General features: G+C 39.6%; 3 annotated features.

Moving 5' to 3' along the window:
- Nucleotides 8,996–9,085: an enhancer, noted in NCBI's record as "active region_29943". NCBI's record gives its function as "activates an Ori minimal core promoter by ATAC-STARR-seq in GM12878 lymphoblastoid cells {active_cell/tissue: GM12878}" and the evidence as "EXISTENCE:reporter gene assay evidence [ECO:0000049][PMID:35858748]".
- Nucleotides 16,462–16,606: an enhancer, noted in NCBI's record as "145 bp enhancer 234 fragment used in the MPRA reporter construct; PK_construct_4149". NCBI's record gives its function as "activates an SV40 promoter by MPRA in K562 cells {active_cell/tissue: K562}" and the evidence as "EXISTENCE:reporter gene assay evidence [ECO:0000049][PMID:23512712]".
- Nucleotides 16,525–16,542: a transcriptional cis regulatory region, noted in NCBI's record as "GATA motif; enhancer activity is reduced when this motif is scrambled". NCBI's record gives its function as "necessary for full MPRA enhancer 234 activity {active_cell/tissue: K562}" and the evidence as "EXISTENCE:site-directed mutagenesis evidence [ECO:0005528][PMID:23512712]".

Below are 17,223 nucleotides of genomic sequence, written 5' to 3'. Positions count from 1 at the left end.
ATCTGCTTTACTCAGTCTACTAATTTAATTTAAATGCTAATCTCATCCAGAAACACCCTCACAGACACACTCAGAAATAATGTTTAACCAAATGTCTAGGCACCACGTGACCCAGTCAAGTTGATACATAAAATTAACTGTCACAGTAACTCATCTCTCCAAACCTGCTTAGTATAAACCCACCCAACCAGGTTCATACTGAGTGCTTATACTTCAAGCTCCTCCATTATTACAAGTTTTATATATTTTTTATATTTATTATAAGTTGACTACCAAAAACATGAGTGTTGTAATTCCATTATTCGATCCAAGCAGATACTTGGAAATGTATGGTCTTTAGGTGGGGTGGGCCACCTAGAGACCATACATTTCTACAAGTAATAATTCTACATTACGACAAGTCCCAATGACCTTTCCTCTTCATATTGTCTCATTGAGGCCTGGGTCTCAAACAATGGTCACCCAGTCTTGGATAATGCCTTCATTCATTTACTCACTCAACAAATTGAGCACCTACTATGTGCCTACCTTGGCTCTGGCCGCTGGGAATACAGCAGTGAACAAAACACACACAAATAACTTTTCTACTACTTGTCATATGGACTAAGCATTCTAGTGAAGGAAGACAATAAATAAACACACACACACATGCTTATATGTACAAGTATATATATGTGTATATGTATATATATCTTAGTCCATTCTTGCTGCTATAACAAAATACCTGACACCAGTAATCTACAAAAAACCGAAATTTACTTCTCACAGTCCTGGAAGCTAGAAGTCCAAGATCAAGGCTCTGGCAGTTTTGTTATCTGGTAAGGGTCTGGTCTCCACTTCCAAGATGGCACGTCGTTGCTGCATCCTCTAGAGAAGACAAATGCTGTGTCCTCACAAAGCAGAAGGCAGAAGGGCAAAAGTGCCTAGCCTAGCTAGTTCCATTCATGAATGTGGAACCTTCATGACGTAATCACCTCTGAAAGTTCCCACCTCTTAATAATATCACACTGGGTCTTAGTTTCCAACATACACATTTTGGAAAGATGCATACATTCAAACTACAGCAATATATAGATAACATCTATTAATTATATATTATATATAACATATTAAGTCATATATAGTATACATTAAAATATATCATATATAACATATATTAATTATATAAATTATATATAATTATATAGTATATAGTACATATAATACTAACATACAATTATGTATATTAGTAATATATTATATATATTAGTAATATATAATACTAATATATATTATATAGTATATATAGTATATATAATACTAATATATAATTATACATTACATATAGTATATATAATATACTAATATATAGTTATATATTATACATAGGATATGTAATATATACTAATATATAATTCATATTACATAATAATATGAATTATATATTAGTATATATTATAATTATATATAATTACATATTAGTATATATACTACATAAAATATATAATTATATATACTAATTATAATTATATAGTAATATGAATTATATATTTATATATTATAATTATAATTAGTATATATAATTATATATTTTATGTAGTATATATACTAATATGTAATTATATATACCAATTATAATTATATATACTAACATAGAATTAATATATATGTAGATTGTGATAATTGCTATGTAAACTCTAAGGCAGGGACTAGACCTAAAGAAGATGAGAGAATGAGCCGTGGTAACAGGGGAAGGGCATTCCTGCACTGGGAAGAGCAAACACAGAGGCTCTGAGACAAGAATGTGCCTGGTGTGTCTGAGGAACATAAAGGAGGCCAGGGTTGCTGGAGCAGAGTGAGGGGGACATTATTAAAAACTAAAATCAGAGAGTTAACTGAAGGGAGGAAGCAGATTATATCAGGCCTTATGGACCCTGAAGACCTTTGGCTTATACTCAAAGTTAAATGAGACTTGTGGGGCAGGGGGTGGGGCTCTGAGCAGAGAAGTAACATGCCTACCCATTAAAATAATTCCATTACTGTGAAAGCTGCATTGAGAATACAGTGTTGGCTGGGCATGGTGGCTCATGCCTGTAATCCCAGCACTTTGGGAGGCCGAGGCAGATGGATGGTTTGAGGCCAGGAGTTTGAGACCAGCTTGTCCAACATGGCGAAACCCCATCTCTACTAAATATACAAAAAATTAGCCAGGCATGGTGGCAGGCCCCTGTAGTCCCAGATACTTGGGAGGCTAAGGCAGGAGAATCGCTTGAATGCAGGAGGCAGAAGTTGCAGTGAGCTGAGATCATGCCATTGCACTCCAGCCTGGGCGACAGAGTGAGACTCCGTCTCAAAAATAATAATAAAAAAATAAAATAAAGAAAAAAAGAGAATACAGTGTTACAGGGGGCAGAGGAGGAAACAAGAACACCAGTGAGGAGGATATTGCAATAATCCAAGGGAGAGATGATCGTGGCTTTGGGGCGATAGCAGTAGAGGACAATAGTTGTCAAATGCAGGATATATTTTTAACATGGAGCCAACAGAATTTCCTGATGGATTGGTTGTGAGGTGTAAGAGAGACAGAGTAGTTAAGAACAACTTCAAAGTTCTCAGCCTGAGCAATTGGAAGGAGGGGGATCCACTACCTGAGATGGGGAACACTATAAGATGAACAGATTTGAGAAATACTTCAGTTTCTTAACATGTTAAGTTTGAGACATCGACTACCAATTCAAGTGCAAATGGCAAGTAGGCAGTTAAATATATAATCCTGGAGTTTAGAGGAGAGGTCCATGCTGGAGACATAGGTTTGAGAGTTGTTAGCATATCGATGATATTTGAATACATAATACTAGATGAAATCACAAAAGGCATAGGTGTAGCTAGAGAAGAAATGAAGTTCAAGGACTAAGCCTTGGGGCACCACAATATTAACAAACTTGGAGAGGTGAGTAGGGAATTGCAGAAGAGACTGAAACAGAGCAGGCAAATATAGCAGGAAACCATTTTAAGAGTTTTCTTTGTCCGATCTGCATAAAGAGCAACAGAGCCCAGAGTGTTACCTGCAAAAATGAATGAAGAGATGAATGTTAACAAACCTCTCACCGTTCTGGAGCTGCTTTTATACACATGGCAGTATATTAAAGTACCTGCGTGGACTTTGAAGGAGTACATGAGGTCATCAGGTATTTTTGACAAACTAAACACACATCCCATCCCTTAAGGTATCCTATTTACTGTTTAACTCCCTTTCTCCTCCCAAATTTCTGGGCATAAAGCTCCGGGTTCTTATTTGATCCATATCTAGACTCCCTTTCACCAGATTCTGTACTCAAGCCTGGCGCTGGAAAACTAGCTCACTCTGAAATACTTAGGGCGCTTCTTAATGAGCTGGATTTTCAGCTGTTAAACCTGATGGAACTCATAGATATGTTAAAAAAAAAAAAATCAACTGTGACAGCCCTGACAGGAGATGGAAGGCTATTAGCAGCTGCTATTAGCAGTGAATGAGTGCCAGCGATATATGCTGAGCTCCCTGAGCAGTAAAACACAGGTGGTTAGCCGAGAAACAATCACAAAGACAGACTGGGACAAAGATAAAATGAGGGGGCTTTATTTTCTTTCACTCATGGCATTTCCACTTTTCTTACCACTAAGACACATTAGTTACATAAACACCTTTGAATAAAGAACCCAGAGAGAAACAGCGAAAAGATTTTCAAACGTTATTTGCTTCTCTAGATATATACAGATAAGAATATTAACTCTAATAGTACTCCTGTGATGGTTCTATCATTATGGCTGCAGCTTGTAGGAAATTCTAATTTTGAAATCCCACCTCTAAGGCTTATTATTGAGAGAAAAGAAAGAAGAAGAACAAAAAACAGCTAATGCCAGTGTTACAAATTCCATCTTTTGTTTTAAAAAAAATCCATCAAAATGGCATATTTGATTGCAATGGCAAAACGTCAAAGCTGGAGGGACCCTTCAAGGCTATCCTGTTTAATCCCCTCCTTTTACAGATCAGGAAACTGAGGCAGAGAAGGAAAATGACCTGCCCATAGTCACAGAGTGAGACGATGGCAGAGCTGGAACACTTTCAGTCTCCCACTTCCAGCTTAGTGCTCTTTCTTTAAGCTACACTTGAGCATGTACTAATGGAAAACAAATTAAAGCAGAAGATTGCAAAATGGTAAGAAAACCTGAAATCGCTCATAAAGGGTTGTTATTTTCTCAACTAGTTTTCTGCAGCACCAGAAATTCTAGCTGAAGTAATCCATAGAGCAAAACAAAGTTGATGACAGTCAATTACTAATCACTACTTTCATTTGAAAGCATTGTATTTACAGCCTTTTTTTTCTTCACAGAGTGAGACTTCATACATGTAAAAACTGAATTTAACGCCATTGGAAGTTTGTTATAAAGATTACTGAAAATCATGAGTGATTCATGGTCCCCAGGCACAGCTGTTACGCTATTGAACAGCTAAAATTCCTCGCCAGCAAGGATGAAACCCAAGGGTCAGTCCTTCTGAGACATGGACAGAACACATCAAATCACTGATGATATCAGACTGGAATTTTTTTTGAAAAAGGATAAGGAAAGACAAAGCCAAGGAGACTGATTGTGTGTGTATGTATGTGCATGGGGCCACGTGTGAGGAATTAACACCACTCTCTCCCCAGCTCTATAGGGAGGTACTGGGGGCCACCTGCAGAATCTTGTCCTTCATGGCTCAAGTGCAAGGTGAGAGTGCAGGGAGGGCCTCTTTTATTGGCAATGGGATAGAAAATGGAAAGTAAGAGTGCATTTTCTTGCATACTTTTCTCCTTGCGTATTTCCTATGTGCAATTTTAAAATACTCATTTCTAAAAATATTTTCCCAATTAAGTTTCTCCCTTCCCTTGGTTAAAGCTAGGAAACAGCAGTGCCTGCATCTCCTTTGGAGAGAGTGGCCCTCGTCTTTGCTGGGGCAAACAACGGTTAAATCAGGGGTCAGTTGCTTGGCTTTTCCTGATGTCTAAGAAAGAGAATACTCCTCTCCAGCCATCTGTCTCTTGCTTCCTCATTCACTTCTGGCCTGGAATTAGAGAATATTGGCCTCCCATCCGCCTCCAAACCTGTGGAGATAATCAAGAAGTTGGGGGTGGAGTTGCCATAGTGTTCCTCCCATAGAAATCTTTCCTCCTTCCAGGAGCACAAAGCTACCAAAGCCAACCGCAGAGATGGAAAGGGAACTCTAAAAGTAAAAAGTGTTATTTCTTTTTACTTCAAATTGACATTCACTCTAATCAGCGAGTGAAAAAAAAAAAAAACAACACTAAAATAATCCAGAAAAGCATTTATGTGCTCAGCATTGCAGGGGAGAGAAGAATATGAGGTAGAATCCTTACACTCACATAGCCACTATCCCGGTTGGGGAGACAAGATGTACACATTCAATAAGAGTGAATATAAGAAAAGACAGAGGCTGACTGGATTATGCAGCAGGAATTCACAATTTAAAAAGGTGATGAGGCTACAGAGTTCACAGAAGGCTTTGTAGAGGAGAATGGCATGAACGAAAAGCACAGGGGCAGGAATGAATACAGGCTGTCTATGGAAAAGTGAGGATGCCAGCCTATTGGGAAGATAGAAGCAGTGGGGTCTTGAGAGCCAGGCAGAATAGTCTGAACCTGATGAGGTTACAGAACAAGACATTGTGGAGGTCTGAGCTTAGGAACAATTTAGGGAAAACAGCACTGGAAAAAAAAAAGTAGTCTGGCAGGATTGATTTAGGAGAGGAAAGGCCAGGAAGGTGGTTATGGTGCACCCAGCAGGAGACAATAAAGGCTTACATTACAGAATTAGAAAAGGAACTAGAGTCAGCAGGGTAAAATGAGCCAGAGCTAAAGGAAGTGAGAAAGATGTGTTTGGGATTTAATTTTTGATTTAAACTAATTTTGTCACTGGTTGCTGTGAACTATGATGATGACGTATGTCATTGCACTTGGCTAAACAAGAATGAGAAAATCAATCTCTGTGCGGGGTGTGTGTGTCTTTCTCTCTCCCTCACTCCCCGTGTGTGTGTGTATGTGTGTGTGTGTGTGTGTGTGTGTGTGTGTGTGTAGTTGCAGAGCCTTACACACTTAGGTAATTCCCCTATGCCTTCTCCTGTTGCTCTGAGCAGAAATGTTAGATGAAAAACTGGGAGGTGGTCATAGGAATTAATATATGCAGATATTCTTGGCATAAATTAATAACATTTATTTCACATAATAGGAAGCCCAAAATAGAGCAGATTCCAGGCACAGTCCAGCTAAGTGCTGGAACAATTGACTATCCATGTCACATAAAATGAACCTCCACCCTTACCTCACTCCATACGCAAAAATTAATTCAAAATGATATTCACAACCCAAATACCTGACACAGGACTTCTATCCAGAACACATAAAGAACTCTTGCAACTCAATAATAAGAAGGCAAACTACTTAATATTTTTAAATGGATAATAATTTAAACAAACATTTCATAAAATAACACATAGGAATGACCAATAGACATGTGAAAAGATTCTCAATATTATGAGTCACTAGCAAAATGCAAATTATACCACAGTGAGATACCACTACTCACTCACTCGAATGGCTACCATTAAAAAGAGTGATAATACCATGTGTTGGTGAGCATGCAGATCAACTCAAACTCTCATACATTGCTGCTGAAATGTAAAATAGTATAAGCACTTTGGAAAACAGTTTGGTAGCATCTGGCAAAGTTAAACATACACTTACCATATGTCTCAGAAATTCCACTCCTGGCTATTTACTCAAAAGAAATGGAAACCTATGTCCACAAAAAGACTTGTACATGAATGTTCATAGTAGCTTTATTTATAATGGCCAAAACAGGAAACAACCTGTATGTCCAACAGGAGGTAAATTTAAAAATCGAGTTGTATCCATACGATGAAATACTATTCAGCAATACAAAGGGACATACTACTGATATACTTATTAGCATATATGAATTCCAAAAGCTTAATGCTGAACAAAAGAAGCCAGACAAAAAGCTAACCTAGACAAAAAAATAACGTTACTAAAATAATATTTTAGTAACGTTGATTTTAAAATCTTTACTGTTGGCCAGGTGTGGTGGCTCACACCTGTAATCCCAGCACTTTGGGAGGCTGAGGTGGATGGATCACCTGAGATCAGGAGTTCGAGACCAGCTGGCCAACAGGGTGAAACCTCATCTCTACTAAAAATACAAAAATTAGCCAGGCATAGTGGTGTGTGCCTGTAATCCCAGCTACTTGGGAAGCTGAGGCAGGAGAATCTCTTGAACCTGGGAGGCAGAGGTTGCAGTGAGCTGAGATCATGCCACTGCACTCCAGCCTGGGTGACAGAGTGAGACTCCATCTCAAAAATAAAATAATAAAATAAAATAAAATAAAATAAAATAAAATATTTACTGTTGATTATGACCAAAAAAATTGAGGTAGTACAGTAAGAACTCAAAGTCCTCAATGGTTTCCTACAAGTTAATTGATATAAACAAGAGTTATGGCATATTTGTGGTCAAAAAAATCACCAAACTTCTAAATAAAGACCCAAAACACATCTAATAGTAAACATGGAAATAAATGTGAGCTATACATACATTTAAGAAATATTAATAAGTAAGAGAATTATTTACCGGTTTATTCCAGTTCAGGGTTGTGGTGACTGGAGCCTCTCCCAGCAGCTCAGGACGCCAGGTAGGAACCAGCCCTGGACAGGATGCCAACCCATCACAGGGCATACACACACACAGCCACACTCATTCACACTGGGATCATACAGACACACCAATGAACCTAACGTGCACAGCTTTGGGCTGTGGGAGGAGACAGGAGGACATGGAGAAAACCCACACAGACTCTGGGAGAACATGCAAACTCCACACACACAGTGGCCCCAGCCAGAATTAGATTTTTTCATCAGTGTTATAAAGAAGGGATGTTATTTGACGACACGCTGTATATTGTAGTGATTAATGAGTGCAAAAATTAAAATTAAAAATTTTAAAATATTTAAAAATTTTTAAAATATTTTAAAATATTTAAAAATTTTTAAAATATTTTAAGAATTTTAAAAAATTTAAAATATGACTAATCTAAGCATACAAATTACAGAAAATAATATAGCAGACACCTTTGTGCCTACCACTAAGATAAAACAGATGTAAACACTTTGTCTTACAGAGCTCTATAAAAAGAAAGAACAAAAGAGGTGAAACATTACTACTACAGCCAAAGCCCCACTTTTATCCTTTCTCCCTCCTTCTCTCCTCCCCAGAGAGAACCATGTTCCTGAATTTGATGTTTATTAATCAGCTCTTTGGTTTTATACATTTACCATAAAAATGTATGGCCATAAATAATGCATACATCATTTTGTATATTTTTGAATGTATGTAAATGGAATCTACTGCATGTACCTTACAAATTGCTATCATTTAACAATATTTTTAGATTATATATATTGATACAGATGGAGCTAGCTCATTTATTTTAACTACTGTATGAATAAGCCACAGTCTATTTATCCATTCCCCAACTGAGGGATAGCACATTGTTACAACTTCGTTACTTTTATATAAAGTGCCACATAAACATCCTCATTCATATTTTTTATTCACAAGAGTTTATTTAAGGTAGACATATAGATGTGGAGTTGCTAGGTTAAGGAACGTTATGGTTATTTATGCTGCATAACAAACCACTCTAAAACAGTAGCTCAAAACAGTAATTTATTTTTACTCATAAGTCTGCAATTTGGGTGGGGATGGCTCATTTCTGCGCTACACAGCGTCACCCGATGCCTCCACTGGAACTGAGTATCCACTTCCAGAATGAATTATCTTCATTACTGGCAAATTGGTGTTGGGTGTCAGCTAGGAGCTCCACTAGGGCTGCCAGCTGGGGATCTCAAATTCTGTCTCTGTGTGGTTCTCCATGTGGTTACCTGGACTTCCTCACAGCATGGCAGGTGCATTCAAAAAGTCCCTGGCAGAAGATCAAGGTTTTTTGTGATCTTGTGACTAAAATTCTACAACATCACATATACTGTATTCTGTTAGTCAAGCAGTGACTAAAGCCAGTCCAGATTCAATGGGAGGAGCCACAAGGAATTTGCAGCCATTTTAAGTCTACCACACTCTCCTCTCTAGCCATAAATTATTTACATTTCTCACACATGCAAAAGACATTCACCTTCCCCCAAGGCCCCCAGAAGTCTCAGCCTATTTTAACATCAGGATTAGATCTGAGGACCAGGATTTCATCAGCTAAATCAGGTCTAGGTGGAGATGAGGCTCCTCAAGTGAAGCTCCTTGAGTACAGAGCCTCTAGATCTCAGGACCTATGAAATAAAGAAACAAATTATATGCCCCCACATACCCAACATACAATGGTGAGTTAGAAACTTAATAATCACAGTAGACACTTCAGTTCACAAAGGAGGGGAACAAGGAAACACATAGCATTCCATAGCAATTCTGAAATCCATCACTAGTTCTTTCATCACGGCCCAGTCCTGATCTCTGGGAATGATTCTTCTTAGCTCTTGGCTCCACCCTCTGAGTTCTTGGTTGTATCCACTGAATCATTCTTCCTTATATATAAGAAATGGCCCATGGACAGGCAGGACTTCTGGAATGGTGGTGTGAGGAGTTCAACGAAGTGTTTCTGCAGTAAAACAACAATTTAAGTGCTGAAAATTATTTTTATAAACCATGTAGAATTTCTGGAAATTGCCCCAAGAACATACAGCAAATGAAGAAACATTTATCCAAGAAAATCTACTAAATCTTAACCAGTACAGTGAGAGTTTGTGGTATTTGAGCTACTACCTGCTCCCACGCTCCACCCAACAAGATCTGTGCGATGAAATCTCAACTCTGGCACATGTAGATGTGAAGACAGGTGTTCCCCTTCCCCACAACTAGTCCAGGGCTACAGTTTTAACCTGAGAGGAGCAGGCTGCTGGTGTCCCTCATCTTCCCCAGCCCTATATTACAAAAGTTCTATCCCTGGTAAGCAAGTCTGAGAGGACAGGAACTTCCCTTTCCCCATTCAGCTCCCACTGGTAGTGCAAGGGCTCTCCCTGAGGGATGATAGGCCTAGAGGAGTGGTACCCAATTGGCTCCACCCCAGCTCATTCAGAGGATAGAGGTTCTAATATGGGATAGGCAAGCTGAGAAAACCAGGGTCTACCACCATCCCCAGTGCCCACTGGTAAAGCAGGAGTGCCACTCCAGAAGAAGCAATCCACTGCCCCTGACCTCAGCTCCAATACAGTGGTGCAGAAGTACTGCCCAGGAGGAGAGTCAGGCCATAAGGATGGAGAGCTCCACAGCTCTGCCTGAAATGATGGACTTTATTTAAAAGAGAACATGGGAAGATCATGCCTAAGGCCTTGCCAAAAACAATGGATTTTCAATGTTCACAGCAAAGAAAAGATAAATGTTTGAGGTGACAGATGTGAAAATTACCCTGATTTGATCATCATAAAACTGGCTTTGCAAAATTATAACTGAGGAAATTATGACAGTGAAGGAAATCAGACCTAACTGACTGCATCTTGCTTCTAGCCTTTAAGTTGTCCTTGTTCATTCCGAACCAACTTTGGGAAGGAATTCAGTACATAATTTCACTCTGAAACAAAATTGATAACAGCTCTTTCCTGAAAAGACCCCCTTCTTTCCTGGGGAACAGTCTGCCTTTACAGGACTAACAAATTAGCTACAAGATTAGAAATTACAGTTTAGGGATCATGCAGCCTCTGGCTCCAAGAGTCTGAACCTCCCCAAATTGCTCCTGAGGATAATATCACTATTGTAAAACCTAGGATCAGTGCTTGAGATATTTTGCAGACCTTGCACTGGATGGAACAGCTAACACCACCTAGACCCGTATTCTGGCTCAACCAGGTCTGCCATCCCACCCAGGAACAGAAAACAGCAAGAAAAACTCACTTTACCCCCCTATGATTCCATCTCCAACCTGACCAATCAGCACTCCCCACTTCCCAAGCCTCTACCCGCCAAATTATGTTTAAAAACTCTGATCCCCAAATGCTCAGGGAGACTAATTTGAGTAATAATAAAACTCCCATCTTCTGCACAGCCAGCTCTGCGTGAATTACTCTCCCTCCATTACAATTCCCCTGTCTTGATAAATTGGCTCTGTCTAGGCAGCTGGCAAAGTGAACCCATTGGGTGGTTACAGTTATACGTTATATACATGTATCAAAATATCACTCTGTATCTTATAAATATGTACAAGTATTATGTGTCAACTAAAAAGGAAAAAAAGAAACCAGAAATAGTGCCAAAGGAAAAAAAAAGGAGATCTTGGTGGCAAGCAATTAAGAAAGGCTGGCAGAAGCACTTTGGGAGGCTGAGGCGGGCAAATCACCTGAGGTCAGGTTTTCGAGACCAGCCTGGCCAACATAGTGAAACCTCTACTAAAAATACAAAAATTATCCTAGTGTGGTGGTGCGCACCTATAGTCCCAGCTACCCGGGAGGCTGAGACAGGAGAATTGCTTGAACCCAGGAGGCGGAGGTTGCGGTGAGCTGAAATCACACCACTGCACTCCAGCCTGGGTGACAGAGCGAGACTCCGTCTCAAAAAAAAAAAAAAAATGCTGGTAGCTTCATGAGACTAATACAGCTGACCCTTGAACCATGCAGGGATTATAGGCACCAACTCCTGCACAGTCAAAAATACATCTACAACTTTTGACTCCCCAAAACCTTAACTACTAGTAGCCTATTGTTGACTGGAAGTCTTCCTGAAAACAAAAATAGTCGATTGACACATAAACCATATTTACATATCTTTTGTATATTCATTACATACCTAACTTTGTCTTAATTTTCTCAATATTTCTAGGCTATGCAGTTCATCTACAAGTTTTCCAAATTGTCACCAATCTCCAAAAACTTTCCAATATACTTGTTGAAAAAATTCTGTGTATAAGTAGACTTGTGCAATTCAAACTTGTGTTGTTCAGGGGTCAAATGTAGCAGTGAGCAAGAAGGCAGATCAGTCACAAGATTGACAGAGAGAATCCAGGAAACAGACAGCTAAGAAGAGCACTCCTGGGATCGCACTCCCAACAGCCCCAGATCTCTTTGATGAGAAATTGCCGTTGTACCTTACTTCTTTAAACATGATTTACTTTTGTTCTTTGAACATATTTATATTAGCGGGTTTGAAGTCTTTGTGTTTTTCCCATTATTTCACATCTAAAGACACATATATGTTTGTTCCATTGTCGATGATGATAATTTGACCACTTGGTTAAGGTAGTCCTCCAGACCTCTGCATTGTAACAATATCTTTTCCTCTTTGTAAATAATGCTAAACTTGGCCTCAGATTGACCAATGGGAGCCCATTTGAGTCAGTTCTTATGTTCTTTTGCTATATTCCCCTAGTCTTTGTGCACATAATCTCTTCTTAACACAATAAAATATTCCAAAGAGGGAATAAATATTAACACAATATTTATTCCCTTGCCCCAGACCTGTACTCGGCCATTTCTCCAAGGAGCTACAAGGGTATATCCTTTTGAGGGCTCTAGTTTAATGCGGGGGCCTCAATTCTGTTTTTGTTTTAGTTTGTTATTTTTTCCCATAAATTATTGGGGTGCGGGTGGTATTTGGTTACATGAGTAAGTTCTCTAGTGGTGATTTGTGAGATTTTGATGCACCCATTTTGGTGGGCATTTGGGTTGGTTGCACGATTTTGCAATTGTGAATTGTGCTGCTATAAACATGCATATGCAAGTATCTTTTTTGAATAATGACTTCTTTTCCTCTGGGTAGATACCCAGTAGTAGGACCACTGGATCAAATGGTAGTTCTACTTTTAGTTCTTTAAGGAATCTCCACACTGTTTTCTATAACGGCTGTACTAGCTTACATTCCCACCAGCAGTGTAGAAGTGTTCTCTGTTCACTGCATCCATGCCAGCATCTACATCATCTCATGTAAGTCAATGGATTAATCTCCTATACTTACATAAACTTCTATAAAACTCAGGCCCTTGGATTACTGAAACTAACATTCTCCCATGCCAGAAAAGCCTCACATTTAACCCATGTGCTTTCCACTCAGCTCTCAGTCTTTTGGGGGGACTCTGACTTTTGGGAATTTCTCTTTCTTAATTGTATACTCAACTATGCATTTGAAAATGAAATATTCTATCCAGCAATGGGTGTTTTGTAGTCAGAAAATTTTTAAGCTGTCTCATCTATCAAATCACCTTTGTTTCTATTTGCAGCCTTTGGGAGTATTTGGGATCTGAGAAGAAAATCCACACAGAATTCTGGTGGGTTCCTTCTCTCTTGGACAATTTCATGTATGATGTTTATCTCCAGGCTGAATGAAAGACTATAAGGGTCCCTTCTCAATTCCAGGCCATTCTCCATGCTCCTTTCTTTGCTGTAGGCTACAAAACCTCAGCTTTGTCTCATCTCCTCTCCATAGTTGCTATCTCCTCTCCTCTCCCATAATTGTGGTTATGGAAGGGGCCATAACCTCCTCAGCTTCCCTCCTTTTGGGGGCTCTACATAACTACCTACACTTAAATGTTTTATTAGTTCATTTTAAGGACTTTACAAGCTGATCATGTGACGAAACACACAGAGGCTAGCAAAACATGAGACCAGTAAAACATCTTTTAGTTATGGTCCATGTTCTGTTGATCTTTTATATAGGGGACCCCTGACACAAGTTTTCTCAAACTCTGAAGACCAGTGTACAGTGGACCCCAGAGAATCAGCATGATTCTTCAAGAAAGAATCAGTTTCTCTTGGCTCAGCTCTGCCTCCCTCCCTACTCAATGAATGATGATTCTGCTATGGGGAACACTGGCATTTTAAAAAAGTTCATTGATTATGCATCAACATCTGTATGGCAAATGCACCATTCAGCAGTAGCAAGTAGGACACATTGAAATTCTGATTTAATAACAAAAAAGAAATATGCTTTTCACAGATCCATTTATGTGCCAAAATACTAGAGCTGTCAGAACATCTGCAACACTTCATATTAGGACTTTTATTTTCTTTAGTGAAGAAGAAGGTGTGTATGTTTAGAGAGGGATTGTTAACTAGAATTTTCATCCCTGTATATCAGGTAAGTATTAAAAACATATATTTCTATAAGCCAATCTCCCAGGATTTGATTAAGTCTCCCTTGGGCAGTTTCATGCCAGGATGCCACAGATAAGACCAAATCAAAGAATTTAGACAAGCATCCCACAACCCACTTTGTGTAAACTAGCCTTTTTATTTTGACTCTTGAAACCAAACTTCTTTGGTGAATCCTCATGTATTTCTTTCTGGAAAAGAAAAAAGCAAACCATACTTAAATTGAAATATTTCAGTCTATGAATTTACTGTTCATCTGCCCTGAAGCCAGGAGTGATGGGCTGTATGGCCAAAATCCCATAATTATAATTTTTAAAAAGGTCCTCCTCCACTAATCCAGGGATTCTTATCCTGAGGTCCATGAACCCCTATGGGATCCATAGCAGACTTTATGAAGACTTTGAACTCTCCAAAACTCCAAAACTGTGTACTAAATTGTGTAGGGAAGTAGGGGGTTAGGGCTTATGTGCATTCTTTTGGGAAAGAGGCCCTGGCCTTCATCGGATTCTCCAAAATATTCAAAACTCTTTGCAAAAAGTCTGGCTTGGTAGATCAAGAAAAATGGCTAAGTTTCTGCCCCTTGCTACAAAGGCCTTGGGTTTGGTCCCATGTGATTCAGGAGGCTTTCCAAGTGGCTAAAATTCATGAATAAACAGTGTTTATAAATAGGCTCAGACCTGCGAAATGCTGTCCAAAATGGCATGCATGGGTCATGGGTCCAGGACCCATCAAAAGTTATTTTGATGTCCTAGACAACATGCTGAATGTGGGCCCTGATGAGCTTGGGGCAGATGAATCTTACAGTTTGGCCTCTTCCTCTCCAGGCTCTTTGAACTCGGCAGCGGCCTTATGCATGCTCTACAACTCAATATCTTGGCATCCACCTAGCTGTTGTGCTCCTAACTTGGGGTGTCAAACTACAAAGGGAAAAATAATTTTAAATAACAGCAGTTCATATTTATTAAGCATTTCCTCTGTCAAACACTGTGCTCAGTGTTTTATTAATTAATTAATTAATTTATTTATTTATTATTTTTTCAAGACAGAGTTTCACTCTTGTTGCCCAGGCTGGAGTGCAATGGCATGATCTCAGCTCACTGCAACCTCTGCCTCCCAGGTTCAAGTGATTCTCCTGCCTCAGCCTCCCGAGTAGCTGGGATTACAAGCACCCGTCACCACACCCAGCTAATTTTTTGTATTTTTAGTAGAGACGGGGTTTCACCATGTTGGCCAGCCTGTTCTCAAACTCCTGACCTCAGGTGATCTACTCACCTTGGCCTTCCAGAGTGCTAGGATTACAGGCGCGAGCCACTGTGCCCAGCCCGTGCTCAGTGTTTTATATGTCATTTAATCCTCATGACAACCGTGTTATTATTAGCTCCATTTTACTTATGAGGAAACTGAGGCTCAATACTGAGGTTGTGACTAGCCCAAGGTCACAGAGCTGGTAATAGGTGAAGCTGTCAATGTTCATGGTATTTACCATGAGACTACACTGCTCCCCACCTCTCCCCAAATTTCTCCCTCCATTCAGAATGCCTTCGCCTACTCTTATTCGGCACAGTCCATATACTTTCTCCAGGTATTGGTAACCCCAGAAAAAGCAATGAAAGCATTTACAAAATACTATGTGCCAAGCACTGTATCAAATGTTTTTCATGCAGTATCTGATTTAATCTTAACCAAAAACTCCAGTATCCTCTTGCATAGGGCATAATGAAGCAATATGGTTAGCAGTTAATAGCATCGTTTTAGGAATCAAACTACCATTTTACAGATAAGGAAAGCAGAGCCTAGAGAGGCTAAATAATCACCCAAGGCCAAACAGCTAGCAAGTGGCAAAGCTGGGATATGAACTTAAAATTTTCTGACTCAAGAGACTGTGCTGTTAAACACAGAAAACATCTTTTAAAAACACTAAATGTGATGTTAAGACAATCAGTCATCAAAGTTTATACTATTTTAGTGAGGTGGAGAGCAAGGGTAAACACCTAACTTAATTTTCTTTTTTCTGTGACATGTTGCCTTTCCTGTGTCCCTCTCTAGGTGACGGAGCCTCACATGCAGTAATTTGTGCTAACATCAGCATAATGAGACAGAGCCTAGGCACTGTGCATACATAAGCCAAACAATACACAAAACTTCCAATTGACTAAACCAGTCATGCCGGATTTATGAAGAGAAAAGAAAAGGGCGGACGACGTGACCAAAATACACTCTCACTGAAAAGCACTTTTTGTCCCCCCACCCCCGCCCCGCATCCCCTGCTTTATTGCCTTGTAAAACAAGAATTACAGCATAAAGCACGTGGCTTATATCACAAGCAGGTCACATGTGGTGCTGGTGACCTGCAGCTCTTATCTACCCCTAGCAGATTCACTTGCAGCCTTCTTCTGTCTCTGCACACTTCCCTGAATATAAACGTGCTTGCTAAGTGGTCTGCACCTTGGGTCCATTCTTGCCTTGGGTAGGGAACACACAGAATTCTGGGACCAGACATGAGGATCTTTTACTTTAGTGAGACAATAGTCTTGGTTTTAATAAAAAGGAGGAGGGCTACTGTGTCTCTGCTGCAGATGGTATTAGGGGAGGGAAGAAGTAGTCAGAATATTAAATCACCTTTCTTTGTATGCATGGTCAGATTTGCTATTCGAAATTCAGCAAGCTTTGAAAACACGACACTGCGCACTGCCTCCAGGTTTGGCAGCTCTTCCTTTTCTGTTGGGATGAGTGCCCGACCTCAGGGAATAGTTCCTTTAGATGTCAGCTACACACTTTGCCCAGACAAAGCTTCCAACAGCTTGACTTATTCCAAAGAACCCCCATAGCAACTGAGAGGCTATTAGCATGGTTAGATGTCGGGTAGGCCGAGCTGCATCCACAGAAAGGGAGAGAAAGAGATGAGAGGGATGTTGTCGATAGAAGCTTCAGGAGTGGGGAAGAAAGCCGCTGAGAATTGTAGACGAATATCTTTTCAGCAAGGTGGCATGAAAGGTCTACATGGAGGTTAGCCTCTGGAGAATTCTTCAACTCCAGATTTTAGTGTCTCAGAGAA

This window comes from Homo sapiens, chromosome X, assembly GCF_000001405.40.
Source record: "Homo sapiens chromosome X, GRCh38.p14 Primary Assembly".
Taxonomy (NCBI): domain Eukaryota; kingdom Metazoa; phylum Chordata; class Mammalia; order Primates; family Hominidae; genus Homo; species Homo sapiens.
The sequence above is the reverse complement of the archived record's forward strand: the minus strand, read 5'-3'. Positions and strand labels throughout refer to the sequence as shown.